At 39.0% G+C, this 25,734-nt stretch overlaps 1 protein-coding gene across 11 annotated transcripts in view, besides 1 other annotated feature; it reads right to left on the bottom strand.

Annotated features, from left to right (window-relative positions):
• Positions 1 to 25,734, bottom strand: part of PLS3 (plastin 3) — an 89,688-nt gene that overhangs the window by 46,748 nt on the left and 17,206 nt on the right. For 4 of the 11 annotated variants that reach the window (NM_001440792.1, NM_001282338.2, NM_001136025.5 and 1 more), the window contains exon 1: positions 10,482 to 10,563. The exons of 2 other annotated variants lie outside the window; for them this stretch is intronic. The gene's annotated coding sequence lies outside the window, so the exon portion shown is untranslated. Of the gene's footprint in view, positions 1 to 1,823; positions 1,899 to 10,481; positions 10,564 to 10,665; positions 13,001 to 25,734 lie in introns of those variants that run through there. 5 more of the 11 variants (XM_047442169.1, XM_047442168.1, NM_001440791.1 and 2 more) reach the window with 3 other exon arrangements.
• Positions 24,338 to 24,911: an enhancer, noted in NCBI's record as "H3K4me1 hESC enhancer chrX:114813517-114814090 (GRCh37/hg19 assembly coordinates)". NCBI's record gives its function as "activates a minimal SCP1, AML or CMV promoter by ChIP-STARR-seq in naive H9 embryonic stem cells {active_cell/tissue: H9 hESC(naive)}" and the evidence as "EXISTENCE:reporter gene assay evidence [ECO:0000049][PMID:30033119]".

The following is a 25,734-nucleotide window of genomic DNA, read 5'->3' as shown; positions in this document are numbered from 1 at the left end:
TATCCATGACTCAATTTGGTTCCTCCGTAAGGCCAGTTTCTAAACACAATTTAAAGAGCAGACAGGAGATATACAAACAAACAACAATTTTTCTTTAAATATTTTAGGATCACTTTTCAAAATAGCTAACAGCTTGTCAATATTGTCACATTCCTCCTAATTTGCAAATTTTTTCATGAGTACTAGAAAAAGGTGAAGAGAAAGTATTACTTGCTGAATAAAAGTTTAACCCCGATTTCACAATATGTGATTGACAGGCAAAAGGAAAAAAACCCTGATTTTCAAATATGTCCTCTTTCCCAGTCTGTCTTCCCACAAAAGTGGACTTTATGTGTTTATTTCTTTTTGAGACAGGGTTACACTCTGTCACCCAGGCAGTGGTGCAATCTCAGCTCAGTGCAGCCTCAATCTTCTGGGCTCAAACAATCCTCCTGCCTCAGCCTCCTGAGTAGCTGAGAATACAGATGTGTGCCACCAAGCAAAAGCGGACTTTATTTACATGATGAGAGAGAGGGAGAGAGAAAGAGAACTGACATTCAAAGAAATAGAGATATATTTTTCCTCCATTTAAACTCAGCAATTTTAATACTTATCAAAAATAAAACCTCCTGGAGTCTCTACGTTTTTCTGAATTCGCTCATCTGCAAAGCACTTTGATCTGTCCCAAATTCTGTTTCCTCCTTAGCTCCTATGCCTGCCATTTCTGTAAAGGAAAAGGGAAAGCTGTAGAAAAAAGCCAGCCCTTCTTCACTAAACATATAAGACACAGGAAAACAGATTTTCAAATAAGGGAGTAAAACAAAAGCAAACAAAACCTTGTTTGTTTGTTTTTTCATAAAAGGATATAGTGTACAATTGGGTATGAATTCAGGGCGTCACCCATAGAAGAATCTTATGCCTATGAAGTCATCTCTAATTACAGAGTTTGACTAACAATACTGCAATTATGAAACCACTCCACCGGCTCATTTAACTATACATAAACCCTAAACACAGATCTTTGCTGAGAAAGGTATACCTACAACTACCTGAAACTATTATTCAAATTCTGAAAGGTATTTGAAGGGGGACGGGGGTGCCTATTTTATCTCCTAAAGCACTCACTCACTTTAGGAATGCAGCTGACTGAATAATCTACTTATTCATCTGTGTCATTCAGTACCATGAGGTCCAGGAGAAAGAGAATGCACGTGGGAAACTCATCTGGGGGTAACCAACTTTGATCATAAACTTGATTTTTTTTTTTTTTAAATTGAAAGGCAGCCAAAAGATAAAAACAGGATATTCACCACAGGCTTCATCCCAGCCACTAGTATGGTAAATAGAATTGGAAAAGAGAAGCTCATTACTTAAATCAGAGACTGGGCAACACATACTTGAGGTCCTAAAATGAACAAGAAAGCAACAAAGAGGGGACAAAACATGGAAGAAATACATTATTTCACTATAAATGAAAATAAACAAGTTAGCCACCATTATGTGTGAACAGTTCAAGAATGATCAGAAAAGGGGTGTTGTCACCTTCCTCCATCCAAAACAGGCAGTGCTTTTGAACACCCACACTTTGCATACCTACCTTTACCAATAGAAACTGCCACCCTGCCACCTCCCTAGTTAGGTAAGTGAACAGCTCAACACTAGTCTCTAGCTTAGATGGGTGTGCAACACTGTGGGCTAAAACTCACCTATTCATACTATGATTACTAAAGCTCCAGTCTCATGTTTCCTAATGACTTTAGAAGATTCCCAGCTTGAATGTCTACCACACTCACCCACTTATTTATTTATATTAATCAAGCATTAACTTAAGGCTTAGTATGTACCAGGCACTGTGTTGGGTGCTCCAGATAAGAGACAATTAGGATCCAAATCCCCTTCTTTCTGGAAGAGCTTACTGTCTAGTGGGGGAAACAGATGGAAAAACAAAGATACAACATTAGTGCAATCATGCCATCACAGTCATATATACTAAATGGTAGGCGTCAGAAAAGTTTTTTCCGAGGTGAGGCTTGAACTCTGTCTTTGAGTGCAAGTAGGATTTTCTCAGATAGACATCCCCAGTAAGGGCATTCTCAGAGAGACATCACTGGTAAGGGTATTGTGCCTTGTGTTAGTGACAGACACACTCGCAGCAGCAGATCAGGGTCCAATTTAGAAGTGGCCAAGGGAGAAGGAAAGTCAGTGAGGACGATTCAAGTTAGGAAAGTCTAAGTGTCTCCAATCTAACTTACTGCCACATTATTTTCCCTGTTTTTTTCTAACTCTTTCTTCTGCCAAATCAGGTCTCGTTTTCAACTTTCCCACTTTCCTCTGTCTCCAGACTGCAGTTTGACCATAAAAAACAAAGGGAGGATCAGTCAACCACCCATCCCTCTGGATTCTTGCCTTGCAATATCTGAGATTCTTCCGTCATATCTGTTTATCACCTCATGTCTGGCCTACTCCACAAGTTTTTTTTTTATCTTTTTATATATTTTTTTTATTATACTTTAAGTTCTAGGGTACATGTGCACAACGTGCAGGGTTGTTACATATGTATACATGTGTCGTGTTGGTGTGCTGCACCCATTAACTCGTCATCTACATTAGGTATATCTCCTAATGCTATCCCTTCCCCCTCCCCCAACCCCACAAAAGTTTTTTTTTTTTTTTATCAGATCTGCCTGCTGTTCTGTCTTCCTCCAGTGCAATCTTTACACTGCTAATCTCCTGATAATCTCCTGAAGAGCGGATCTTATAAACATTCCATGCAAAAGGAGGTCCCACCTTTTTAGGACAGCATTCAAGGCCCTACACTTTTCTGACTTGACTTCTAGCTTTATGTCTGCCCATCTTTCCAATGCTACTTCCCATTATATGTACTACACCCTTGAACCCAACACTCTCAAGAGACCTTATTCCCCAAACAGGCCATGTATTTTCCCGCTTCTTCCACTCCCTGGAGAGACCACTGGGTCTCTCCAGTGGAATGCTCTTCACCCATCTATCTAGACACTTCAAAAGCCTATTTCAGGAAGTATCTTCAGATTGTCCGCACCCAAGATAAAATTTATCTTCCCAGTACTCTCACAGAACTGTGTTTCTATTACAGCTGGTTCTGGATTCTCCTCTATCAGTACCTTTTGTTTTATTCTGGTCTCTTCTGCTTTTCCTGTCTTCCATTAAGAACTTCCTCTCTCTCTATCTGCGTCTCATGCTTAGAATACTCTCCTCTATTTTTCCTCTCTCTCTATCCAAATTCTACTCACCCTTCAAGCAAGGTTCAGAAGCCTCATCCTCTCCCAAAGCACGTTTCCCAATGACTCCACCTCCCACTGATCTTTCTCTTCAACTCCCAGAGAATTTAGAATCTTGCCACAAAATTTTGAAATTTAATTATAGACTTCTCCCTATAGTTACATAAGTGGATATGAGGACAGTCAGTCTAACTGGGACTTCCATTGTCCTACTTGGTTCAGTTTATCTACCTTCTTTACATAGATTCTTAAACTTGGTCAAAGAGAACAATCTTCTTCAATAAAAGAAAATCCTTCTTTCACGAACAGCACACAAAAACTTGTGTAATTCTTTGCTTTGCAAGTCTCATTTCATGATTGTTTGTTTCTGGAGAACAGTCTAAACTTCACCTTTTACTCTCATTGCTGGATGTTGGTTACACAGGCATGGTTTACAAAATATACCAACTGAGGCTGAGGGTGGTGGCTCATGCCTATAATCCCAGTGCTTTGGGAGGCAGAAGTGGGAGAACTGCTTGAGGCCAGGAGTTTGGGACCAACCTGTACAACATAGCGAGACTCCTTCTCTTAAAAAAAAAAAAAAAATTAAATCAGCCAGCATGGTGGCCTGAGCCTGTAGTCCTAGCTACTAGGAAGGCTGGGGCAGAAGGATCACTGAAGCCCAGGAGTTTGAGGCTGCAGTGAGCTATGGTTGCCTGCCTCTAAAAAAATAAACATAAAAAATGAATAAAATACTCCAACCAACTGCAATGTTTAGAGGGAGTGAAAATTCCCAGTATTCCCAATATCCAGTGATCACAGCAATGAGAATTTGAAAGCTAAGAAGTCTGTAGAGTTCCATAACTTCATTCCCTAAATTGTATTAGGGAATAAACAAGTGCCTGGGATAGTCGTTGACTTTGCCCAGGACACAAAGCTGTGAAGCACAATTAAAAAGATGTATTTCTCAGCCAGGCGCAGTGGCTCATGCCTGTAATCTCAGCACTTTGCGAGGCCGAGGCGGGCAGATCACAAGGTCAGAGATCAAGACCATCCTGGCCAACATGGTGAAGCCCCGTCTCTACTAAAAATACAAAAATTAACAGGGCCTGGCTGCACGTGCCTGTAGTCCCAGCTACTCAAGGGGCTGAGGCAGGAGAATTGCTTGAACCCAGGAGGCGGAGGCTGCAGTGAGCCGAGATTGGACCACTGCACTCCAGCCTGGGCGACACAGCAAGACTCCACCTCAAAATAATAATAATAATAATAATAATGTGTTTCTCCAAGCATAGCTGGAAAAAAAAAAAAAAAGCAAAAGCATGTGTTGGAGGAAAGGTAATTAACTGTTTTTTCCCTCTTTCCTTTTTTTTTTTTTTTTGAGATAGAGTCTTGCTGAGATGTCCAGGCTGCAGTGCAGTGGCATGATCACTGCAGCCTCCAACTCCTGGCCTCAAGTGATCCTCCTGCTTCAGCACCTCCCACCCCCAGTAGCTAGGACTACAAGCATGCACCACCATACTCGGCTAATTTTTAATTTTTATTTCTTTTTTTTTTTTTTTTTTGTAGAGACAGGATCTCACTATGTTGCCAAGCTGGTCTAAAACTCCAGGGCTCAAGTGATCCTCCTGCCTCAGCCTCCCAAAGTGCTGGGATTACAGGCTTGAGCTGCAGTGCCCAGCCAATTAACTACTCTTCCCAGAAAAACAAAAACAAAGAGACTACACATTGCTTTGCAGAGAGAAGGTCCATGCCTAGTATATATAGCCTTTGGAAAATAACTTAAAAAGCTCCTAACAAATATGACCATGATATCGAGAAATAAGAACAGTTGCCAGAAAATGGAGATAGTAACCCCCTCCAGCTAATACTAACTTGTTTTCATTATTTAAAAGGATAAGGGATTCACTTAAGCCTTGAACTAAAATAACCAAAACTTTAATTGTATAAAACATACAGAATATAGACAATGAGTTCAGTAAAGACTCATACAGAGTTCTAAAAGTCATTTATTTAAAACATTGGTGTTAAATTGGCACTGATCATAAAACAGGCAATATTCTGAAAAAAAAGCACACAAACGCTTACTTTCTCCTATGACACATTCATTCCTACATATGACAGGCTTCTGCTTCTCTTTGTTAATACTGCTTAATTTCAGCCTCATGAATGCTAAGTATTGTGAACAACCACTCCCATTGTATCAGTGCTAATAACTTAGTCTTAATATAAAACAAACACTCAAGTATCTATGTGATTTACTTTTCATTTAAAAATTTTTTCTTTCAAGATTTTTCTCAAGAACAAGTGGCTTGGAATTTTGCTTGACTCATTTTAGAAAACTTTCACGGAATCTTGGTAAAGGAGTAATTGTAAAGGCTTAAGAGGCTATATGCATAATTTTTATTTAATGATTTGTTGCTCTGAAAGTCAAAATAAGGGAGTCAAAACCTAAATGCCCTCACGTGTGTCATAGGTTCCTAGTCCTAAAAGTCTAGGAAAGGTTGAAGCAGAAGAAAAAGTGGTGAAGTGTTTTACTGTGCATTAATTCTAGCACATCAGCATTATCAAAAATTGCTTCTTCTCCTTCTTCTTTTTTTTTTTTTTTTGAAATAGAATCTCGCTGTGTCGCCCAGGCTGGAGTGCAGTGTCATGGTAACTGAAGCCTCCAACTCCTGGGCTCAAGAAATCTTCCCACCTTAGCCCCCTGAGTAACTGGGATTACAGGCACGCAATATCACCCCAGCTAATTTTTGTATTTTTTGGAGAGATGGGGTTTTGCCATGTTCTCCAGGTTGGTCTTGAACTCCTGGGCTCAAGTGATTTGTCTGCTTTGGCCTCCAAAAGTGCTGAGGTTACAGGTATGAGCCATCATGCCCAGCCAAAAATTTCTTCTTATAGTCAATGTGGTGAGCAAACATCTATGAAAGAAATAATCACCACGTATAGCAGACTTTACTTCGGAAAGTTATTTTTCAGGTCTAGCTCTTCTGTTCATTCTACTTAACATTTCAGCTGCAAATTGTACAACTAAACAGAGGACATCATTAGGTACCTCAAATAAAATTGACAGTATTTTCTCATGAGGCATTATTATATACACTGATTAGATTGTATAGTATCAGGAACTAGAGAATAAAGTAACTGGCTGATGGAACATAAATCTGGATATATTTAGCAACTGTGCTTCTACAATTCACATAGAATACAATGAAAATAAAATAAGATATCATAGAACAAAACCATATCATGCCAGATAACATAATATAAAATTTCAGGAATACTTGTAAAGTAACCTGAAAAACCCTACTACTATTTCCATGACAAAATATGTTTCAAATTCCAAATCAATTGAGAAATGAACTTTAGAAGGCTCTATCTGTGACTGAAGGCTAACTCTACCCTTTATCCAACTCCAAGTAGCTGCCTACCTAATAACTATAATTCGGCCTTGGATATATCTAAAACCTTTAAGGGAGACTTAAACATCAGTCTACTCTTTAATGTGAAGAAGAGATTGCTCTGTTCTGCACGTACACTGCTCCAATAACCCCTGTGGATGCATAAGAAAGATATAAAGGTTTATTAAGAAGGGCGGGGAAGAGAGATGAGAGCAGAAGAGTTATTTGCAAAGTTATGCATGGGGTTAGACTAAGCCATTTTAGCCCTCTTCTACCACTGTAATACCCACAACCAATTAAACCATCTCCAATTTTCTGTCTGTATTATATTACATTATATTATTATTATTAGTTTTGAGGCAGAGTCTCACTCTGTCGCCCAGGCTGGAGTGCAATGGCATGATCTTGGCTCACTGCAACCTCCACCTCCTGGGTTCAAGTGATTCTCCTGCCGCAGCCTCCTGGGTAGCTGGGATTACAGGCGCCCACCACCATGCCTGGCTAGTTTTTGTATTTTTACTAGAGATGGGGTTTCACCAGGTTGATCAGGCTGGTCTCGAACTCCTGATCTCAGGTGACCCACCCGCCTCGGCCTCCCAAAGTGCTGGGATTACAGGAGTGAGCCACCGCACCCAGCCTTATTTTATATTATTATTATTTTCTTGAGACAGAGTCTTGCTCTGTCACCCAGGCTTGAGTGCAGTGGCTCTATCTCAGCTCACTGCAACCTCCGACTCCTGGGTTCAAGCGATTCTCCCGCCTCAGCTTTCACAGTTGCTAGCATTACAAGCATGCGCCACCACATCTGGCTAGTTTTTATTCTTTTAGGAGAGACGGGGTTTCACCATGTGGGCCAGACTTGTCTCGAACTACTGACCTCAAGTGATCTGCCCACCTAGGCCTCCCAAAATGTTGGGATTACAGGCATGAGCCACTGTGCCCAGCCTTGTATTATTTTAAAGGAGATGCGTCATAGGGTCATAGTTGCTAACCCGTTCCTCCCCTTCCCCATATTCCTATAGCCCTTTTCAGCTTTCAGCGTGATGACATCTATTTCTTTCTCTATCTCCTCCACGAGCCTGTGAGCTCCTTAAAAGCACGGTTGGTATCTTATTTGACTTTGTATCTTGGCTCACCACAAGCACCTACCGAATGTTTGTTCAATAAATAAACTTCGATGGAGGTGAGTAGGGAAAGTGCGCAGACCTATACATCATGCAGGCTATATAGTCCTCTCACGTGGTTTTAAAAACACATACTCTATTGGAGAAAGCTGTGAACAAAATAGTCAAGTTCAATAACGTCTTCACATTCTTCACATACAATTGGCCTGTTATCATGCTTTAACTACCCTTGTTTAATACTTCAAGATACTAAAAAACTCTTCAAGATGTTTGTGACCTGTCCTTTGAATTTAGCTGAAAATCAAACAGAAATAAACCTTTTCAGAAGCAGTTTTTACTTTCAACCATTTTGGCATTCAAGCAGCACATTTCACCTTTACAGTCATACACATCATGCATACATCATGTTTTGACAGGCCTGCAATTTATAGATAAAAGTTGACATTTAGAAGTAAATATAAGGAGTTCAAGACCAGCCTGGCCAGTATGGTGAAACCCCATCTCTACTAAAAACACAAAAATTAGCCGGGCGTGGTGGTGGGTGCCTGTAATCCCAGCTACTCGGGAGGCTGAGGCAGGAGAGCTGCTTGAACCCGGGAGGTGGAGGTTGCATGAGCCAAGATCGTGCCACTGCACTCCAGCCTGGGCAACAGAGTGAGACTCCATCTCAAAAAAAAAAAAAAAAAAAAGAAAGAAAATAAATATAAATTGCCCCAAACTAAAGGTCTACTAACATTTTTTATTGTCAATATTTTCAATATATACAAGAGAAAATAGCACAAAAAACACCCATAAACCCATCACAGATTCTACATTTATCCAGATTTCCCCACATTTGCTTGGTTCATCTATTCTCTCTTCCTGTCCTTTCTTCTCCCTCCCTCCTTCCCTGTCTCTCTTCCATGAATTATTTTAAAGCAAATCTCAGAAATCCTGTGATTTCACCCCTACATAGCTATTAAGAAATGAGTTCATTTTTCTGGAAATACTTCTATTCTGTGCTATAATTGATCATTAGCTAGATTCTAACTGATCTTTTGTTTTGTTTTGTTTTCAGTACCAATATCTATGAGTCACTTAAACCCCAAAGGGTGCCCAATCCTGTGTCATTTCCTGGAGGAATATCAAATACCTCCATTTTAGGTAAAAGTTTCCTTTCCTCTTTTTATACTTAATAAACAAAGATAAGATCTGAAAGCAATGGCTATTTAAAAATAAATTAATACGTAGCTTTTTCCAATAATAGAAATATTCAATTCAATTTGGTCAGATTAAAGACATCATTTAAACGTTTCTCAGGCAAGAATTTTGCAGCTATTTAATGCAAGTCTCAATTATAGTCTAAAAGCCCTTTTTCCTAGGATGAAGAATACTATTTCAAACCCAAAGACACAACAAAAAGACACCTCTCCTTCCCCTAGCTTCAGAAAGCTAAGGTACATTAACTAACTTCTTAGATTGAAATAGCCCACTTTGCTTTTAAAAGGTCTAATGTCTTCCATGCCTAAGTAAACTTTTACATCTACCCCCAAAATCTGAATAATTTATGGGAAAATAAATCTGCTGCTAATGAAATTAATTAATTTTCATACCTAAGAAGTATTTCCACCAGTTTCCTTTCTTATGAAAATTAACATATGTTTGAGTGAAGCCAAGGGCAACTTTCAGGGATATGTGTGTGTGGGGTGTGTGTGTGTGTGTGTGTGTGAGAGAGAGAGAGAGAGAGAGAGAGGGAGGGAGAGAGAGAGAGAGAGGCTAGGCAAGATCAGACTAGTTACCATGCTTCACTTCAATTCAAAATAAAAATGCCATAAAATATTGTGACCTACAACTCAAATCACTATATACACGAAGCAGAAAGCTATCGGCAAGTCACTGAAAATGCCTCTTGCAGTGTTATATACCTTGCTTATATGTTAGCAAATACAGCACTTGTTAATTGAAAAAACTGGTTTGTTTTGTTTCATGCTTCACTTTTTACTTCATATGCGCATATTAAGTACAACCAGTCCGAGAGGTGACTCAACTCAGAGTGAGGATTGACTGTATAACTAGCTATACTTCCCTTTGCCAGAAATATGGGGAAATTAAACTTATATGACAACCATGTGATGGAAAATCCTAATGTATGTGAGCACCAGAAATCACTATTGCTGCCAAGTACCAATAACGCCATCAAAATTTAATCACCAGTGATGTTTATTATTTTGTAAATTATAAACACTAAGACAACTGTTTGATTTAACTCACGTAGGAAGAGTATAATATCAATCTAATCGTGACATGTTCTGTCATGACAGCCACCTCAACCTCCATTTTACAGAATTTTGAAAAACCATGTAACTGGGATCAAAAGCATTTGAAATCCCACCCCCACCACAAATATAGACAATAATTTCTATTATTTAGTGTTTTAGATACTTAACTTGATAAATACGGCTGTATAATTAGGATTTCAAAACCCATTTTTAAAAAGTATAAACTCCCTAAACATTCTCTAAATAAAGAAAAATACAGAATACACACAGAACAGGTTAGAATCTAAACTTCAAAATTTTCTCTTAACAAAAATTTTATTCTACTTGAATAAATAATATTTTTAAAGTGACTCCAAATGTTTACCCAAATAAATAACAGGAATTTCAAGCTTTTTGACGTAAATTCCTGCTTAATCATTTAGTATTTAAATTTAGATTTAGTAATCTCAAAGTTAGAGCCTGTCAAAATAATATTAAAATAGTTACCCGCTGAGAGCAAACTTGTTTCTTTCCTTTCTCGCAGCACTGATAGACAGAACCTTCTCCCACGCCCAGAAGAGCAATCTGGAAACCCAACATTCTTCTTACAATTGCAACTTTAGAGAGCAAGTCACAACACTTCCTGCTAGAAAAAGAGAACACCCTGACAAAAGAATGATACAATACTTACGAATCCCCTTCCTGTCAGCCTGGCGGTATTTTGCAGAGAATTTAATAAATTCTAATTTAAATGCAGCATTTACAGAGAAAAGTTTTCTTTTTTCTTCTTCCTTTTTTTTTTTTCCCCAAAATCATATAAGGACTCAGGGGAATTTAAAGTTAGTTCAGGTCAAATAGCTACAACCCATATACCTATTTAGAGTTTGAACAGTAGCCAAGTAACCTGCTTATTTTAGAACACATGGAACAGCTTCTCCCCAGTGCCCAAGTCACTCGTCCATAGTCAAGAACATTACTTGCGAAGGCAAATTAACTCTCAAGCCACTCACTAACAGTCTCTATTATTCATGCTGATCCATACACAACATTTACACCCCATATGCTAAGGTGTTGTAGCATTTATTTCAAGTATATACATTTTGATTTATGTCAAAAATGTAAGCTCTTCTGTGTAGGAACTATATTTTCTGCTGGCATAGCACACAGGAACTAAGCCAACACTTGCTGAACCGAAATATCTCAGTTAGAAATAATTTTCTAACTGAGAGCTGTAGTAAAGAGGTCTGGAGCCAGATTGGGTTCAAATTCTGGCTCCACACTTTATTAACTGTGCAAATTGCTTAAAACTCTTCTGCCTCTATTTTCTCATCCCGGGATGAAGATAAGAGCAACTCCATCATATCGCAGTTCACTATTTTATACATGGTTGTAAGGCTTAAATGATTTAATATGTGTCATAAATTTAGATCATAGTCTGGCGCATGGTAAGTACTAGATACGTGATAACTGCTCTCATTATTGAAATTTGCCTTTAACTGGTCTAGCAATCTAATCAGTGAATTCCTAAATCAAGCAAGTGGTTAGTTGTGAGTGCCTTTTATGAGAGAGAACAATCAGTTGGAGCACTGGGCTAGGCTGAAGAGGCCGTTTCTGTGCTGACATAGGGCAAGTTCATAATTTGAAGGAAATGCAGCACAATGAAAGCATCAGGGTCTTAGGAGTCTGACAGACCTGTAAGTCTGTGTGACCCTGAACAAATTACTTAGCTTCTCTGAGCCCTGGGTTCATATCTATAACAATGGAGCTATTCCACATATTTCACAAGGTCCACGGGATGACCCAATGGGAAGATATAAATATGTAAGAGTGTCTGGGTCCAGCAAGGTACTCAGTAAGTGGCAGATATTATTTTCTTGTGTCTGGGATAAAGCATGCATAATGCCATCTGCTGCTGTAATCTACCTCATGAGAATGAAAGAAAGTGAGACAATAGATACTCTAGTCCTTCATAAATAATACACAACAAAGTATTTTATGATAGCATACCGAACTCTCAGCATAAGGAGGTGACTCACAGTGTGGGCACCTGTGAAAAGGAGCCCTCACCGGATAGTCCCCATTATGAGGCAGTGTTCTCCTGTCCTCGTCACTAACCACCATCAGCAGACACTGGGTTACATTTTGTCTCCTTCATGGAAGTGCTTTAATTTATTTCACCAATCACAAAACCTTCGTGAAATATCAAAAGGCAACACAATGCAGAAGAGAAGGAATACAATGGCAGGAGTCATAGGACATGTTTTTCCGTCTGTCTTTGTTGCTGACTCACTATGTGAATGAAATGAAGCTTCTTCAACTTTTCTGAGTACCAAATTCTCCATTTCTAAAACAAGCATAGAACTATCTGCCTGTGGCCTGTCAGGGAATAGTAGGTAACTACCAAGCATTTTGAGCTAATTTGAAGAGTATGTGTTATCATGCATTTTTCAGACAGAGAAAACCAGGGCATAGGAAACTGCCTCAGGTAAGAAGACAGTATCAGTTTAGACCAGAAATGTTGGTTTTTCCCCAGCCTTACCTTTTCTTCAGCCACACCTGTTGCCTCAAACCACTGAGACGGGTCTGTCCCAAATGCTACGTAACCACCCTTTTCAGATATGTAGCAGTATCATTGAGGAAATTAATGTTTTAAATATGTAATTCTTCATTTTAGAAGACAGCTTTCTCTCGTTTCAAGTTTTACAGGTCGTTATAACAGTACTACTTAAAAACTGTTTTTCTGACTTTTCCTTTCCTGGTCATCTGGAATATACATGCTCTCCAGCTTTCCAAACTCCAAGGCTAATCTTCGATCAGCATGATCTGTCAACACCGAGTTACTAATTCTAAAGTCACTTCACCTTAATACAATAGCATATATTTCTACTGCAAAGCATTGTAGTTAAAGTTCTAGGAATAGACATGCCCTTCAAAAGGGCACATCTTCTACTTAGTAAATGCTAGGTAGGACATAAAGACAGTTTTGGTTTGTTTTTTTTTTGAGACGGAGTCTCGCTCTGTCACCCAGGCTGGAGTGTAGTGGCGGGATCGTGGCTCACTGCAAGCTCCACCTCCCGGGTTCATGCCATTCTCCTGCCTCAGCCTCCTGAGTAGCTGGGACTACAAGCACCCGCCACCACGCCCGGCTAATTTTTTTGTATTTTTAGTAGAGACGGGATTTCACCGTGTTAACCAGGATGGTCTCGATCTCCTGACCTTGGGATCTGCCCGCCTCAGCCTCCCAAAGTGCTGGGATTACAAGGCGCGAGCCACCGCGCCCGGCCAGTTTTTTGTTTCTTTTATTTATTATTATTATTTTTGAGACGGAGTCTCGCTCTGTCGCCCAGGTTGGAGTGCAGTGGTTCGATCTCAGCTCACTGCAACCTCCGCCTCCCGGGTTCCAGCTATTCTCTGGCCTCAGCCTCCCGAGTAGCTGGGATTACAGGCACCTGCCACCATGCCCGGCTAATTTTTGTATTTTTAGTAGAGACGGGTTTTCACCATGTTGGCCAGGCTGGTCTAGAACTCCTGACCTCAGGTGATCCACCCACCTTGGCCTCCCAAAGTGCTGGGATTACAGGTGTGAGCAACTGTGCCCGGGCTAAAAGACAGTTCTACCACATCAGTAATTTAACCAGTTTTAGCATGTAAACTAAACTTCTATCTCACTCACCATCCGAGGTGTGTGTGGGTGTGTGCGTGACGGGGGCGGTGGGGAGCGTGTCTGTGTATGTGCATGTGTGTGAACAGGATCTCGGTTTTTACTATGGGTAATGAACACTGGTTTGGGAATGCAAGACGGTGGCAAGGGTTCTGCAATAAATTCTACATTTTCATCAGCAGGCCACAGAATGAAAACAGCTTTTAAATTGCATCCCAAATTCATCAAAATGAATGCTAAGGAAAGCCGACGGAAACCAAATTCTCACTGTCACTCTCTCTAGATGTTACAAACAGAAACCATACAGTTAAGAGTTCAGGCCGGGCTGGGCGCGGTGGCTCAGGCCTGTAATCCCAGCACTTTGCGAGGCTGAGGTGGGCGGATCACCTGAGGTCAGGAGTTCCAGACAAGCCTGGCCAACGTGGTGAAACCCCGTCTCTACCAAAAATTCAAAAAAGCCAGATTGGTGTTGTGCCCTTGTAGTCCCAGCTACTTGGGAGGCTGAGGCAGGAGAACAGCTTGAACCCCAGAAGTGGAGGTTGCAGTGAGCAGAGATTGCACCACTGCACTCCAGCCTGGGCCACAGAGACTCCATCTCAAAATACAAACACAAAGTTAAGAGTTCACACACATGCACTTGTGGACACACTCCCACCCCAGGGTGGAAAAAAGAGGTACAACCCGAAAAGTTATGGGAGTTTCACATAAGTATCAGTGGAATATGTAGTTGTAACACAAAAGCTAGGCATAGTATTTTTAAAGTCTCTTACAACTTTCATCCAGACGTCATGCTCTCCACCACACCCAGTACTAGGTATACTTTCCATGTGTGACACGTACATTGGAGGCCTCTCCCACTGTGCTTAATGACACACCTCAACAACACTCATCTATTTTCCTTTCATGAAACAGTTTTTTTTCCATCTTCATGACTTATAAAAACAAAGCGAACAAACAAACATAGTGAGTGAAGCATAGAAGCAAAGGGATCTAACATATAAAACAGGCAACAAGTTTACATTCAAGAAACTACTACTGTAATTTTGGGACTATATTGGAAAGTTTAGGAAATTCATACCAGGCACAGCATTAGGTATATAAACTTGTTGCATGGATGTGTCAATTTTAATAATCAAGTCATATATGTAATCATTTTTTTCATATTTGGGGAAAAATAAGTCAGAATATATCTTAATTTCAATATTCTGGCCAGGCGTGGTGGCTGGTGCTTGTAATCCCAGCACCTTGGGAGGCAGAGGTGGGTGGATCACTTTAGCCCGGGAGTTCGAGAGCAGCGTGGGCAACATGGCAAAACCCTGTCTTTACAAAAAAAATACAAAAAAATTAGCTGGGCATGGTGGCTGTCGCCTGTAGTCCCAGCTACTTGGGAGGCTGAGGTAGGAGGATAGCTTGAGCCCAGGAGGTGAGCTGTGATCTTGCCACTGCACGGACAGAGCAAGACTGTCGCAGAAGAAAATATAAAATTCAATATTCCAAGGGCTGTCTCCCTGATAGTATTTATTAGCTCTTTATTTGTGTAACTAAGTAATCAAAATTTTAAAATAAATAAAAGAAAAGGTCAAAATACATCGAACTACACATGGGGCAATGAATGAATTTAAAAGACATACATGTTCAGTTCGTAGCTAATAAAAACATACAAAGGAATAACTCACATGCTCTACAATTTTCTATCCTGAGGGTCTCTCTCTCACTCAAAAAAAGAAAAGAAAGGAGAGGGGAATAGGAGAAAAGTGGAGGGGTGGGGCAAAGGGATAAGGAGGGAAACAACAACAAAAAACCCAACTCAGCAGTTCCTAAACTTTTTGGCCTCAGGATCTGAGGATCCCAAAGAGTTTGGTGACACATGGGTTAGATCTATCAGTGTATTTGTCACATCAAAAATTGCGACTACGAAACTTTTAAGATATTTATTTGTTTAAAAATAAGAATAAGCCCATTACATGTTAACATAAGCTTTTTAATGAAAAATAACTATATTTTCAAAAAAAGTGTAGTGACAAGGGTGGCATTGTTTACATTGTTGCAAATCACTTTAATGTTTAACCTAGAACAAGAAAGCTGGGTTTTCATATCTGCTTCTGCATTCAATCTTTTGCAATACCGGTTTTGGTTCCAGTGCATGAAGAACATCTGGCCTCCTACAGATAAACTGTTGTAAAAAGAAAGAAATACTTTAAGAGGCTTTCCAGATACTTACAGATATTCTTCAATACTACACCAAAACTCGAGAGAAGTGGTAGTTTTTCAAAGGTTGGTTGCAATGTAGAGTCTGATACAATATCAATGATTTTTTCAAAATCTATTTGTCTGTCTTGCACTTAGAATGGGCCTTTTACCCATGCTTGATTTTGTAACATCATACATTAGTTATTTGGAAAAATATTGTTTCAGTAAGTTATGTGGGTCTTCCAAATGCTGATACATTTCATTATACAAAATCTAACACATTATTTTCATTAATTATACTGTCGATTTCACTAGAAAAGCCTAAGTATTGATCGGATAAAATGGTGACCAATGCAAGTTCTCAAAAATTTGAATTTTGCTTGAAAGCTCTAATTTTAGCATTGGCAACAAATACTCTTAGTTGTTTCCCTTGCAGTGAGAGGCACACTTGGTTCATTTTTTAAAAATAAAGTATCTGTTAGATACTCGGGTCTGAATAATCAGTTAATTCAATCTTTCAAAGTAAAACTGGTTGTCTTTTTTTTTTTTTTTTTGAGACGGAGTCTCGCTCTGTCGCCCAGGCTGGAGTGCAGTGGCGCGATCTCGGCTCACTGCAAGCTCCGCCTCCCTAGTTCACGCCATTCTCCTGCCTCAGCCTCCCAAGTAGCTGGGACTACAGGTGCCCGCCACCACGCCCAGCTAATTTTTTGTATTTTTAGTGGAGACGGGGTTTCACCGTGTTAGCCAGGATGGTCTCGATCTCCTGACCTCGTGATCTGCCCGCCTCGGCCTCCCAAAGTGCTGGGATTACAGGCGTGAGCCACCGCGCCCGGCCTGGTTTTCTATTTTTAAAAAGGCAGCTAGTTTAGCTCACAACTCAAACAGCTGCGCAAGTGCTTTCCCTCAAGACGATCGTCATATATCCATATGCAGCAGAAATACTTTATGGGTATGTCTTATCTCATCACACACAATATTTAAAAAGATGCATACCTAAGAATTGAGATTTAATACAATTATTTTTTCCTGCTTCATCAAGTACATTTGTAAATGAAATGCATGTTGTAAGATTTTTTTCTAAAGGTGATGGTATGGTGCTGAGGAATACAGTGGCTATCACTACAGTGTGGGGCCACTATCTTGATTCAGCAGCTTTACCCACTACTGCTTTTGCATCATCAGTGCAAATGTTAACACAGTGAAAAAACAAATAACAATTTAGTTTTATCATGAAAGTAATTTTAACCCCCATGAGCCCATGTGCCACACTTTTTGAAAACTGGTGCTTTATTCAGTAATATTTATGAAGGAGCCATCTAATTTTAGAGACAGCAAACCTATAAAGTATGCAGGTTTTAACAAGAATTTTCAAACTGAAAATAAAATTAACAAAATTACATATCTAGGTTTTAACCTGAGTTCTGTACTTTTGAACTGTGAAAAGAAAAAACATCTCTTTAATATCAATTCAGGCAAGACAAAAATCTACAGCTTATCTACTTCAAAGCACATTTTGCTGAATCAGGTTCATGTCTAAAAGGCAAGACTTTATCATGACAGTCATGACATAACATGTACAATGTTGTTTAGAAACTTTTTTTTTTTTTTTTTGAGACGGAGTCTCACTCCATCCTCCAGGCTGGAGTGCGTGGCACAATCTTGGCTCACTGCAACCTCCCCCTCCCGAGTTCAAGCGATTCTCCTGCCTCAGCCTCCCAAGTATCTGGGACTACAGGCACCTGCCACCACACATGGCTATTTTTTTTTTTTTTTTGTATTTTTAGTAGAGACCGGGTTTCACTATGTTGGCCAGGCTAGTCTCGAACTCCTGGCCTCATGACCTGTCCGCCTCAGCCTCCCAAAGTGCTGGCATTATAGGTGTGAGCCACAGCGCCCGGCCTGTTTAGAAACTTTTAATAAAATTTTTTAAAAGATTAAGAAAGGAAATATATGTTACAAAATGAGTTAACATCCTACTCATACACAGCAAATTAGATTATTCTTGGCCGGGCGCAGTGGCTCACGCCTGTAATCTCAGCACTTTGGGAGGCCGAGGCAGGTGGATCACCTGAGGTCTGGAGTTCGAGACTAGCCTGACCAACATGGAGAAACCCCGTCTCCGGTAAAAATACAAAATTAGCCGGGTGTGGTGGCACAGGCCTGTAATCCCAGCTATTCGGAGGCTGAGGCAGGAGAATGGCTTGAACCCGGGAGGCGGAGGTTGCTGTGAGCCGAGATCACACCATTGCACCTCAGCCTGGGCAACAAGAGCAAAACTCCGTCAAAAAAAAAAAAATTAGATTTTTCTTCTGATAAGCGGTTAAGAATTTCTTTCTCTTGCATAAAGTAGCACAGAAAGGGTTTAAAAGTAAAACTCCATATGAAATGCAAACACTACTATCTTAAAATATTAAAAACTAAGAAGTATACTATAGTATTTATCGGTAAAACAATATGCGGATTATTTTAAAGCAAATCTCAAAAAAGGGGAGAGCAAAGATGAAATAAGAACATGAAATACTGGTAATTGTTAAAGCTGGGGGTTTTTAATGCTATTTTACATTATGTATTTGAATAATTCCATAAAAATAAGTTTTTAGACCGGGTGCAGTGGCTCACACCTGTAATCCCAGCGCTTTGGGAGGCTGAGGAGGGCAAATCACGAGGTCAGGAGTTTGAGATCAGCCTGGCCAACATGGTGAAATCCCGTCTCTACTAAAAATACAAAAAATTAGCTGGGCGTGGTGGCGGGTGCCTGTAATCCCAGCTACTTAGGAGCCTGAGGCAGGAGAAAATCTTGAACCCAGGAGGCGGAGCTTGCAGTGAGCTGAGATTGCACCACTGCACTCCAGCCCAGGCCACAGTGCAAGACTCTGTCTCAAAAAACAAACAAACAAAAAAAAAGACTTTTTAAAATTTCTGCCTACTTATATAAAGGACTTGGGATTTTGGAGAGCAAAATTAAATTTCATGGCTCATATTTGTTCAATAGATAAATACCGATTAAGCATATATTCTGTAAAAGGCACTATACTAGTTGGCATCAGGAAATATGAGGATTTCTGCAACATGCTTTTCATATCCTCAAGGGGCTCAGAGTGGCTGTGTCTATATATATAATCAATTCCCTAAAATGGGTATAATGCTTCCACTATGACCTTTCTAAGCGGTATTTCTTTATGTCATTACCAAGTACAACTTGATCCAATTGAATTGGAAGTCACTATAATGCAATTTTAAGAAAAAAAGAAAGGGAAATGGCGTATGAAAGAAAATACAAAAAGGAAACAAAAAATAAGAAATGAGACTTTCCCTGGTTTCCCTCTATAAAAGGAAACTAACAAGAGATGTGAGCAAATATGGGCATGACCACATCATTTTTCCACCACAACCCATCATCTTATTTCACTTCAGGACAGGAACCATCATGTCATCTCCTTTGAGTCAGCTCTTGTACTACTCACATAGGCAAAAATAACTGAGCAATACATTCATTTTCCACAGGGAGCATTAAATACATTTAAGTATTCTATAATTTTTCAAATGACAGAAGATAGTTTTACAAATGCCACGACTTTACATTAAATTCCAGGGCTACTAGGTCCTTTCACCACCTCCCCCAATACAAATTAAGCCCATCCTCAGGAGGAAATCCACAAGTTAAACTAGTAACATTCCTCAAGAGGCCTAAGTATAACACTGATAAATGAAAACTGAAAATGATCATCACAGAATAAAATATTTACTTTACTTATCAGCTTCTAGCTTCTTGAACTAGATTTCAAACAAAATGTCATTTTTTCCCTATTCAAGCTGTAGATAATATGTGCAAAAGTTCTCAAAACTCATTCAGTGAAGATCTTTAAAAGCTGAGTGATAGCATTAAATAATTTTAAATTGCTCTACTGTTTTCGTATTTAATAAGCTCTAAGAGGGCAGTGATTTTTTGTCTGTTTTGTCCAGCAATCTATTTTCAGCTTATAGAACAGTGCCTGGCATACAGTAGGCACTCAACAAATATTTATTAAATGGATGTATGTGGAAGACATAGCATCCTAAAGGAATTAACTCAGTGTCATATATTATAGTGGTTTATTTCATAGTCAAGAATAAACTTTCAGCATTTGTCTTTTTAATGCAAAGCAAATAAATAAGGATAAAAGGCATCTACTCTTGTTCCATTGGCTAACTCTGTAAGATACGATCATTCCTGAAAGCTAATCTGGCCAAACACATGGTGGTTACATCTTCTAATAGCACCAAATCCATGCTCAGATTTGGTAATTGAAACGAATTTCTAAATTCTGCACCTTTAGAAAATAAATTCATTTGAGAGAAAATAAGTGGAGTGGAAAGTATAAAGAACTCTCAGTGTATCAAGTTTTTCCTCAAACTTGCCACACACACCCTCCCCCAAAAAAAAAGAAAAACATCTCACTGTCAAGAGTCAAAACATCACTGCTTTAGCTTTCCAAACTTTAAAACAACTACTTTTTGACCTCACAAGGAATAACAAAACCTTCAAAAGAAAGAGCCGCTTTAGCATTTCCTGCCAGCCTGCCCTAGTCTAAGATTAACCTCGTCAGTTTTTAGGAAGACATATAAAATCCCCTTTAAATGACTAATTCAGATGAAGTAGTAACATGAAGCCATAGCTTTTAAGACGCTGGCTTCTACTTGCTACCAGATGTTGCCATCACTTCAAAGCGTTAAATACATCCATGAAGAATTTCAGATATATTTGCATGTGAAATATTTTCTGACTTCCACTATCATTGTGGAGTCACATTCACGGAGAAAAATAGTTGACTCGCTGTTTAATAAAACATCCTTAAGATTCCATTATTCACTTTGAGAGCCACTCTATGTCAGTATAATTCTTCCATGTAATTCCTGCAAGCACATATATACACTTTCAAAACACAATACAAATTAATTCCATTTCATTGGGAGTTTGCCATGAATGGCCTGCTTTATACTTCTTTTGAATTTGGGGTGGGAGGGAACCTTTCACAAAAAGTCCAGCTGAAAAATCCAAATTTTTGCATGTGTATACTTTTGGTATTTCTTTTTCAGACAAGTAGACTGTCCTGAGCTTTACATAATATAGTTTAGAGTTCCTTTGCCAGGTGTAATTCATCTATTCCACTATGCTTTCTGTTTCTAATCACCACTCTTCTCTGATTAATTTCTTTGGCTATGTTGTCATCAAGGTTTTATTAGCTTTTTCTTTTCTTTTCTTTTTTTTAAAGACAGAGTCTCCCTCTGTCACTCAGGCTGAGTGCCGTGGTGCAATCACAGCTTACAGCAGCCTGAACCTCCCCCAGGCTCAGGTGATCCTATCACCTCGGCCTCCCGAGTACCTGGGACCAGATGCATACCACCATGCCTGGCTAATCTTTTTGTGTTTTTAGTAGAGACGGGCTTTCGCCACGTTGCCCAGGCTGATCTCAAACTCCTGTCCTCAAGTGATCCGCCCGCGTCGGCCTCCTAAAGTGTTGGGATTCAGGCGTGAGCTACCACGCTTGGCCTATTAGCTTAATTTTTTAAAAAAATGTTTAAATCTCCAGAGAGAGTTTAATTCAGCAACAATGGTTGCTATTTTCTACACATAATGGTCATTGTTAAGTCTGGCCCAACACAGAATCCTGAACACAATGTAGATTTATCCTTAAGATTGGCTGCAAAATACCATGGTCTCATAAAGTATTAATAGTTATATGCCCTTACCATTCAAATGTATAGGAGCTTCCCTACAAAATTTGTTTATTTTGTTTTATTTCTACTGAGATGCCTCAATTGTATGACTTCGAGGAGGGAATTGAATCCATAAACATAACACTATGCTGGATCAGACTACTACAGACTGGATTGTAACTGACCAATCTTGCTTGTTTGGTGTTTTATTTGGCAATCTGTTACCTGGTACAGCTAAAGTCTCATCATAATGAATTCTGCCACAAGTCAAAAAGCTTTTGTGGTCTTCACTTCCTAAAAATCACACTGTTAGCAAAAAGTCACCTATGCATGAGTAACCAACCTCTTCCCTCTCCCAGCTTATTACCTCAGAAATTGGCTAAAGCAATTAGCAGAATTCTTTTGATGAGGCAGACTGTCCTGGCTCACTAGCTGAGAATTCACTGCTCGAGAGAATGAGCTTTTAAAAGTCTTTCATTAGACAAAATAAATTTAAAAATACAGATAAATTATATGTGAAGAAAGAAATCTGGATATATGTTTACAATGAGTACCATTATATTGCATCTTCTTTAAATCACACTTTCTAAATTATAGTTTTGCATTACCTAAGCAGGGTTAGGAGTAAGTGGGAAGTAACACATCACTAATATGAGTGATGGTAAACTTCACTGTAATGATAATGCTATGAGCCAGATGCTGTAACTTAGGGAAGTTTTCTTTATAGAAGTAATTCTGCTACTGTACTTAGGGTAGTACATTTGGACCCTGATTTTCAAATTCCTGCTAAGTCTAACCACTTAATCCCACATTCATAATGTTATAGACCAACAGTTATACACTTTATTAAAGAATAAACAGCCAATTTAAATATAAACAGGATGGAAAATATAACCGGAACGTTTTGTTTTGTGCCTGCCACCCTGAATCAGTAAGCAGACAGAAGAGTGGAAAAGCTTTATCTTGAGAAAGCAAGACAGAAAGAAAGCATGATCTCATTCAATTTTCCCTCACCCAAAACCAACAAGGTGACATTATCTCTTCAGTTCTTCTTCAGTCCTAATCAGTTTGATAGCCTCCCTCTTTTTTTAAATACCTGAAAGTAAATTTCTGAGTGTTCTTTTAAATTAAGAAGTTTATCAGATGCTTTTTGTAATTTTTAAGATTTTATTTTGCAGAATCAACAATCAAAGCATGAGAATACACAAATGTTTTCATTTAAAAACTTTTGACTTACTATTCATGAATAATAAACATATCCCAAACTCCATTACCCTAAATTTCAACTATTTAGTAGCATATTCCATTTTGCTATATGGGGAGATGAATTTGTTTGGGATAACACAAAAGGTAAACCATACTTTCCTTAAGGCAAAACAATAGGTTTAGGAATCTTATTAACAGCCTTATAAATCTAATGGTTGGTCTTAAAAATTCCAGAAGTAAACCTTCAAAAATTTTTAAATTCAAAAACATATTAGTGATTTAGAACCTGACAAACTTCAATTTTGGCCATTAAAAAAGGTCATTCATGTTATGGCTGAAAGGAAACTGCTGGCCGGGCATGGTGGTTCACGCCTGTAATACCAGGACTTTGGGAGGCTGAGGCGGGAGGATTGCTTGAGACCAGGAGTTTGAGACCAGCCTGGGCAACATAGTGGGACCCCATCTCCACACAAAAAATTTAAAAAATAAAAAAGAAACTGCTAATTAATATTCATTCAATAATTTCAAAATCATAAAAATACACATTTCTTCAGAAAATAAGAACTAGCGTTAGACTTTGGAAGGAACTAAATTGTTTTCCTTAACAGAATTACCATTTTTAACTTTATTAACATTACATATGCAATTTCAAAAGTCTAATTCATTAAATCAATTCCTCTCAAAATCCTAGAACAGTTTTTGTAGTTATAGACAAGCTTCTTTTAAAAATTAACATGGAAAGGAACAAGCCTTAGAACATCTAAAACTGTTGAAAAATAAGGTGAATAGACTCCACCTGGCATTAAGTCAGACTATGTAGCTACAGTAATCAAGACAGTGTGATACTGACAGAGCAACAGATACTCAAAACAACGGAACAGAAGAGAACCCAGAAACAGATTTACACAAATATATTCAATGATTTTTCACAAGGGTGCAAAAAACCATGTCAGTAGACGAGGACAAACACAGTCCAAAACAAAAAATAAGAAACTTCAACCCAAACTTCACACCTTACACAAAAGTTAGCTCAAAACAGATCACAGACCTAAATGTAAAACATAAAACTATAAAACTTTAGGGGGGAAAGAGAAATTCTTCAGGAACCTGATTTGATGAAGAGTTCTCGGACATGACACCAAAAATCAATCCATAAAAGGAAATACTGATAAAGTGGGCCTCACCAAATAAATCCTTTTGTTCTATGAAAGATTCTGTTCAGAAGATGAAAAGATAAGCTACAGGCGAGGAGAAAATATTTGTATGCCACATATCTGATAAAGAATTAGACTCTAGAATACATAAAGACCTCTTAAAATTCCACAACAGTAAAAACACAAATAATCCAATTAGAAAACAGACAAAAGGGCCAGGCATGGTGGCTCATGTCTGTAATCCCAGCACAGTAGGAGGCCAAGGGCGGAGTACTGCTTGAGGCCAGACGTTTCACATCAGCCTGGGCAATATAACAAGACCCCAACTCTACAAAAAATAAAATGGTGGTGTGCACCTGTAGTCCCAGCTACTTGGGAGGCTTAGGCAGGAGAATCACTTGAGCCCAGGATGTTGACGCTGCAGCGAGCCGTGATTGCGCCACTGCACTCCAGCCCGGGCAACAGAGCAAGACCCTGTCTCAAAAATGAAAGAAAATAGGTAAAAGACATGAACAGACATTTCACTGAAGAGGGCAAACAGATGGGAAATAAGTGCATAAAAAATGTTAAACATCATTAGTTATTATGAAACTGAAAATGCAACTACAATGAGCTATCACTACACACCTATCAGAATGGCTAAAATGAAAAACAGTGACACCACCAAAGGCTGGCAAGGATGTGGAAAAACTGGATCACTCATACATTGCTGGTGGAAGCACACAATGGTACAGTCACTCTGGGCAAACACTTTGGCAATTTCTTATAAAATTAAACATGCAACTCTCATACAACTCAGCATTTGCACTCTTCCGGCATTAATCCCAGAGAAACGAAAACTGAAGTTCACACTAACACCTGTATACAAATACTTGTGATAACTAAAAAACTGGAAATGGCCCAGATATCCTTCAATGGGTGAATGGTTAAATAAACTTTGTTACATACACACCATGGAATACTATTCAACAATGAAAAGGAACGAGGTATTGACATACACAACAACTTAGGTTGAATCTCTAAGAGAATTACGCTCAGAGAAAAAAAGCTAATTCCCAAAGGCTACATACTATATATCATTCCATTTATATAATATTTTTAAATGACAAAATTATAGACATGGAGAACAGATTAGTGGTTTCCTGGGGTCAAAAATGGAGGTCAGGGGAGGAAGGAGGTGTGTGTTGTTATCAAAGGACAATAAAAGGGATTCTACTGGTAATGAAACTCATTTGCCTCTTGTCTGTATCAGTGTCAACATTGTGGTTTTGCTATTGTACTATGGTTTTTTAAGAGTTTACCATTGGAAGAAACTGGGTAAAGGTACACAGGATCTCTTTGTGCCATTTCTTACAAGTAGGTGTGAATCTACAATTATCTCAAAATAAAAAGTTTAATTAAAAAATCTAATTCAGAATTAAACACAGAATATAGTATAATTAAATTAATAGGGAAAATGAAGAACATTTACTTGTATTAATTCTATATCCTGCTTTAAACATTATTCCCACTTTATCTTTTTTTTTTTTTTTTTTTTTTTGTGCAGTGGCGTGATCTCGGCTCACTGCAAGCTCCGTCTCCCGGGTTCACGCCATTCTTCTGCCTCAGCCTCCCGAGTAGCTGGGACTACAGGCGCCCGCCACCACGCCAGTCTAATTTTTTGTATTTTTAGTAGGGACGAGGTTTCACCGTGTTAGCCAGGATGGTCTCGATCTCCTAACCTCGTGATCCGCCTGCCTCAGCCTCCCAAAGTGCTGGGATTACAGGCGTGAGCCACCACGCCTAGCTTTATCTTTTCAAAACTTTTTTGACATAACTTCTGACACAATATTCTTAGCATATATAGTCAGTT

The sequence above is a fragment of the Homo sapiens genome, chromosome X (genome assembly GCF_000001405.40).
Source record: "Homo sapiens chromosome X, GRCh38.p14 Primary Assembly".
Taxonomy (NCBI): domain Eukaryota; kingdom Metazoa; phylum Chordata; class Mammalia; order Primates; family Hominidae; genus Homo; species Homo sapiens.
Note: the sequence above shows the minus strand (reverse complement) of the source record. Positions and strands in the feature narration are given on the sequence as shown.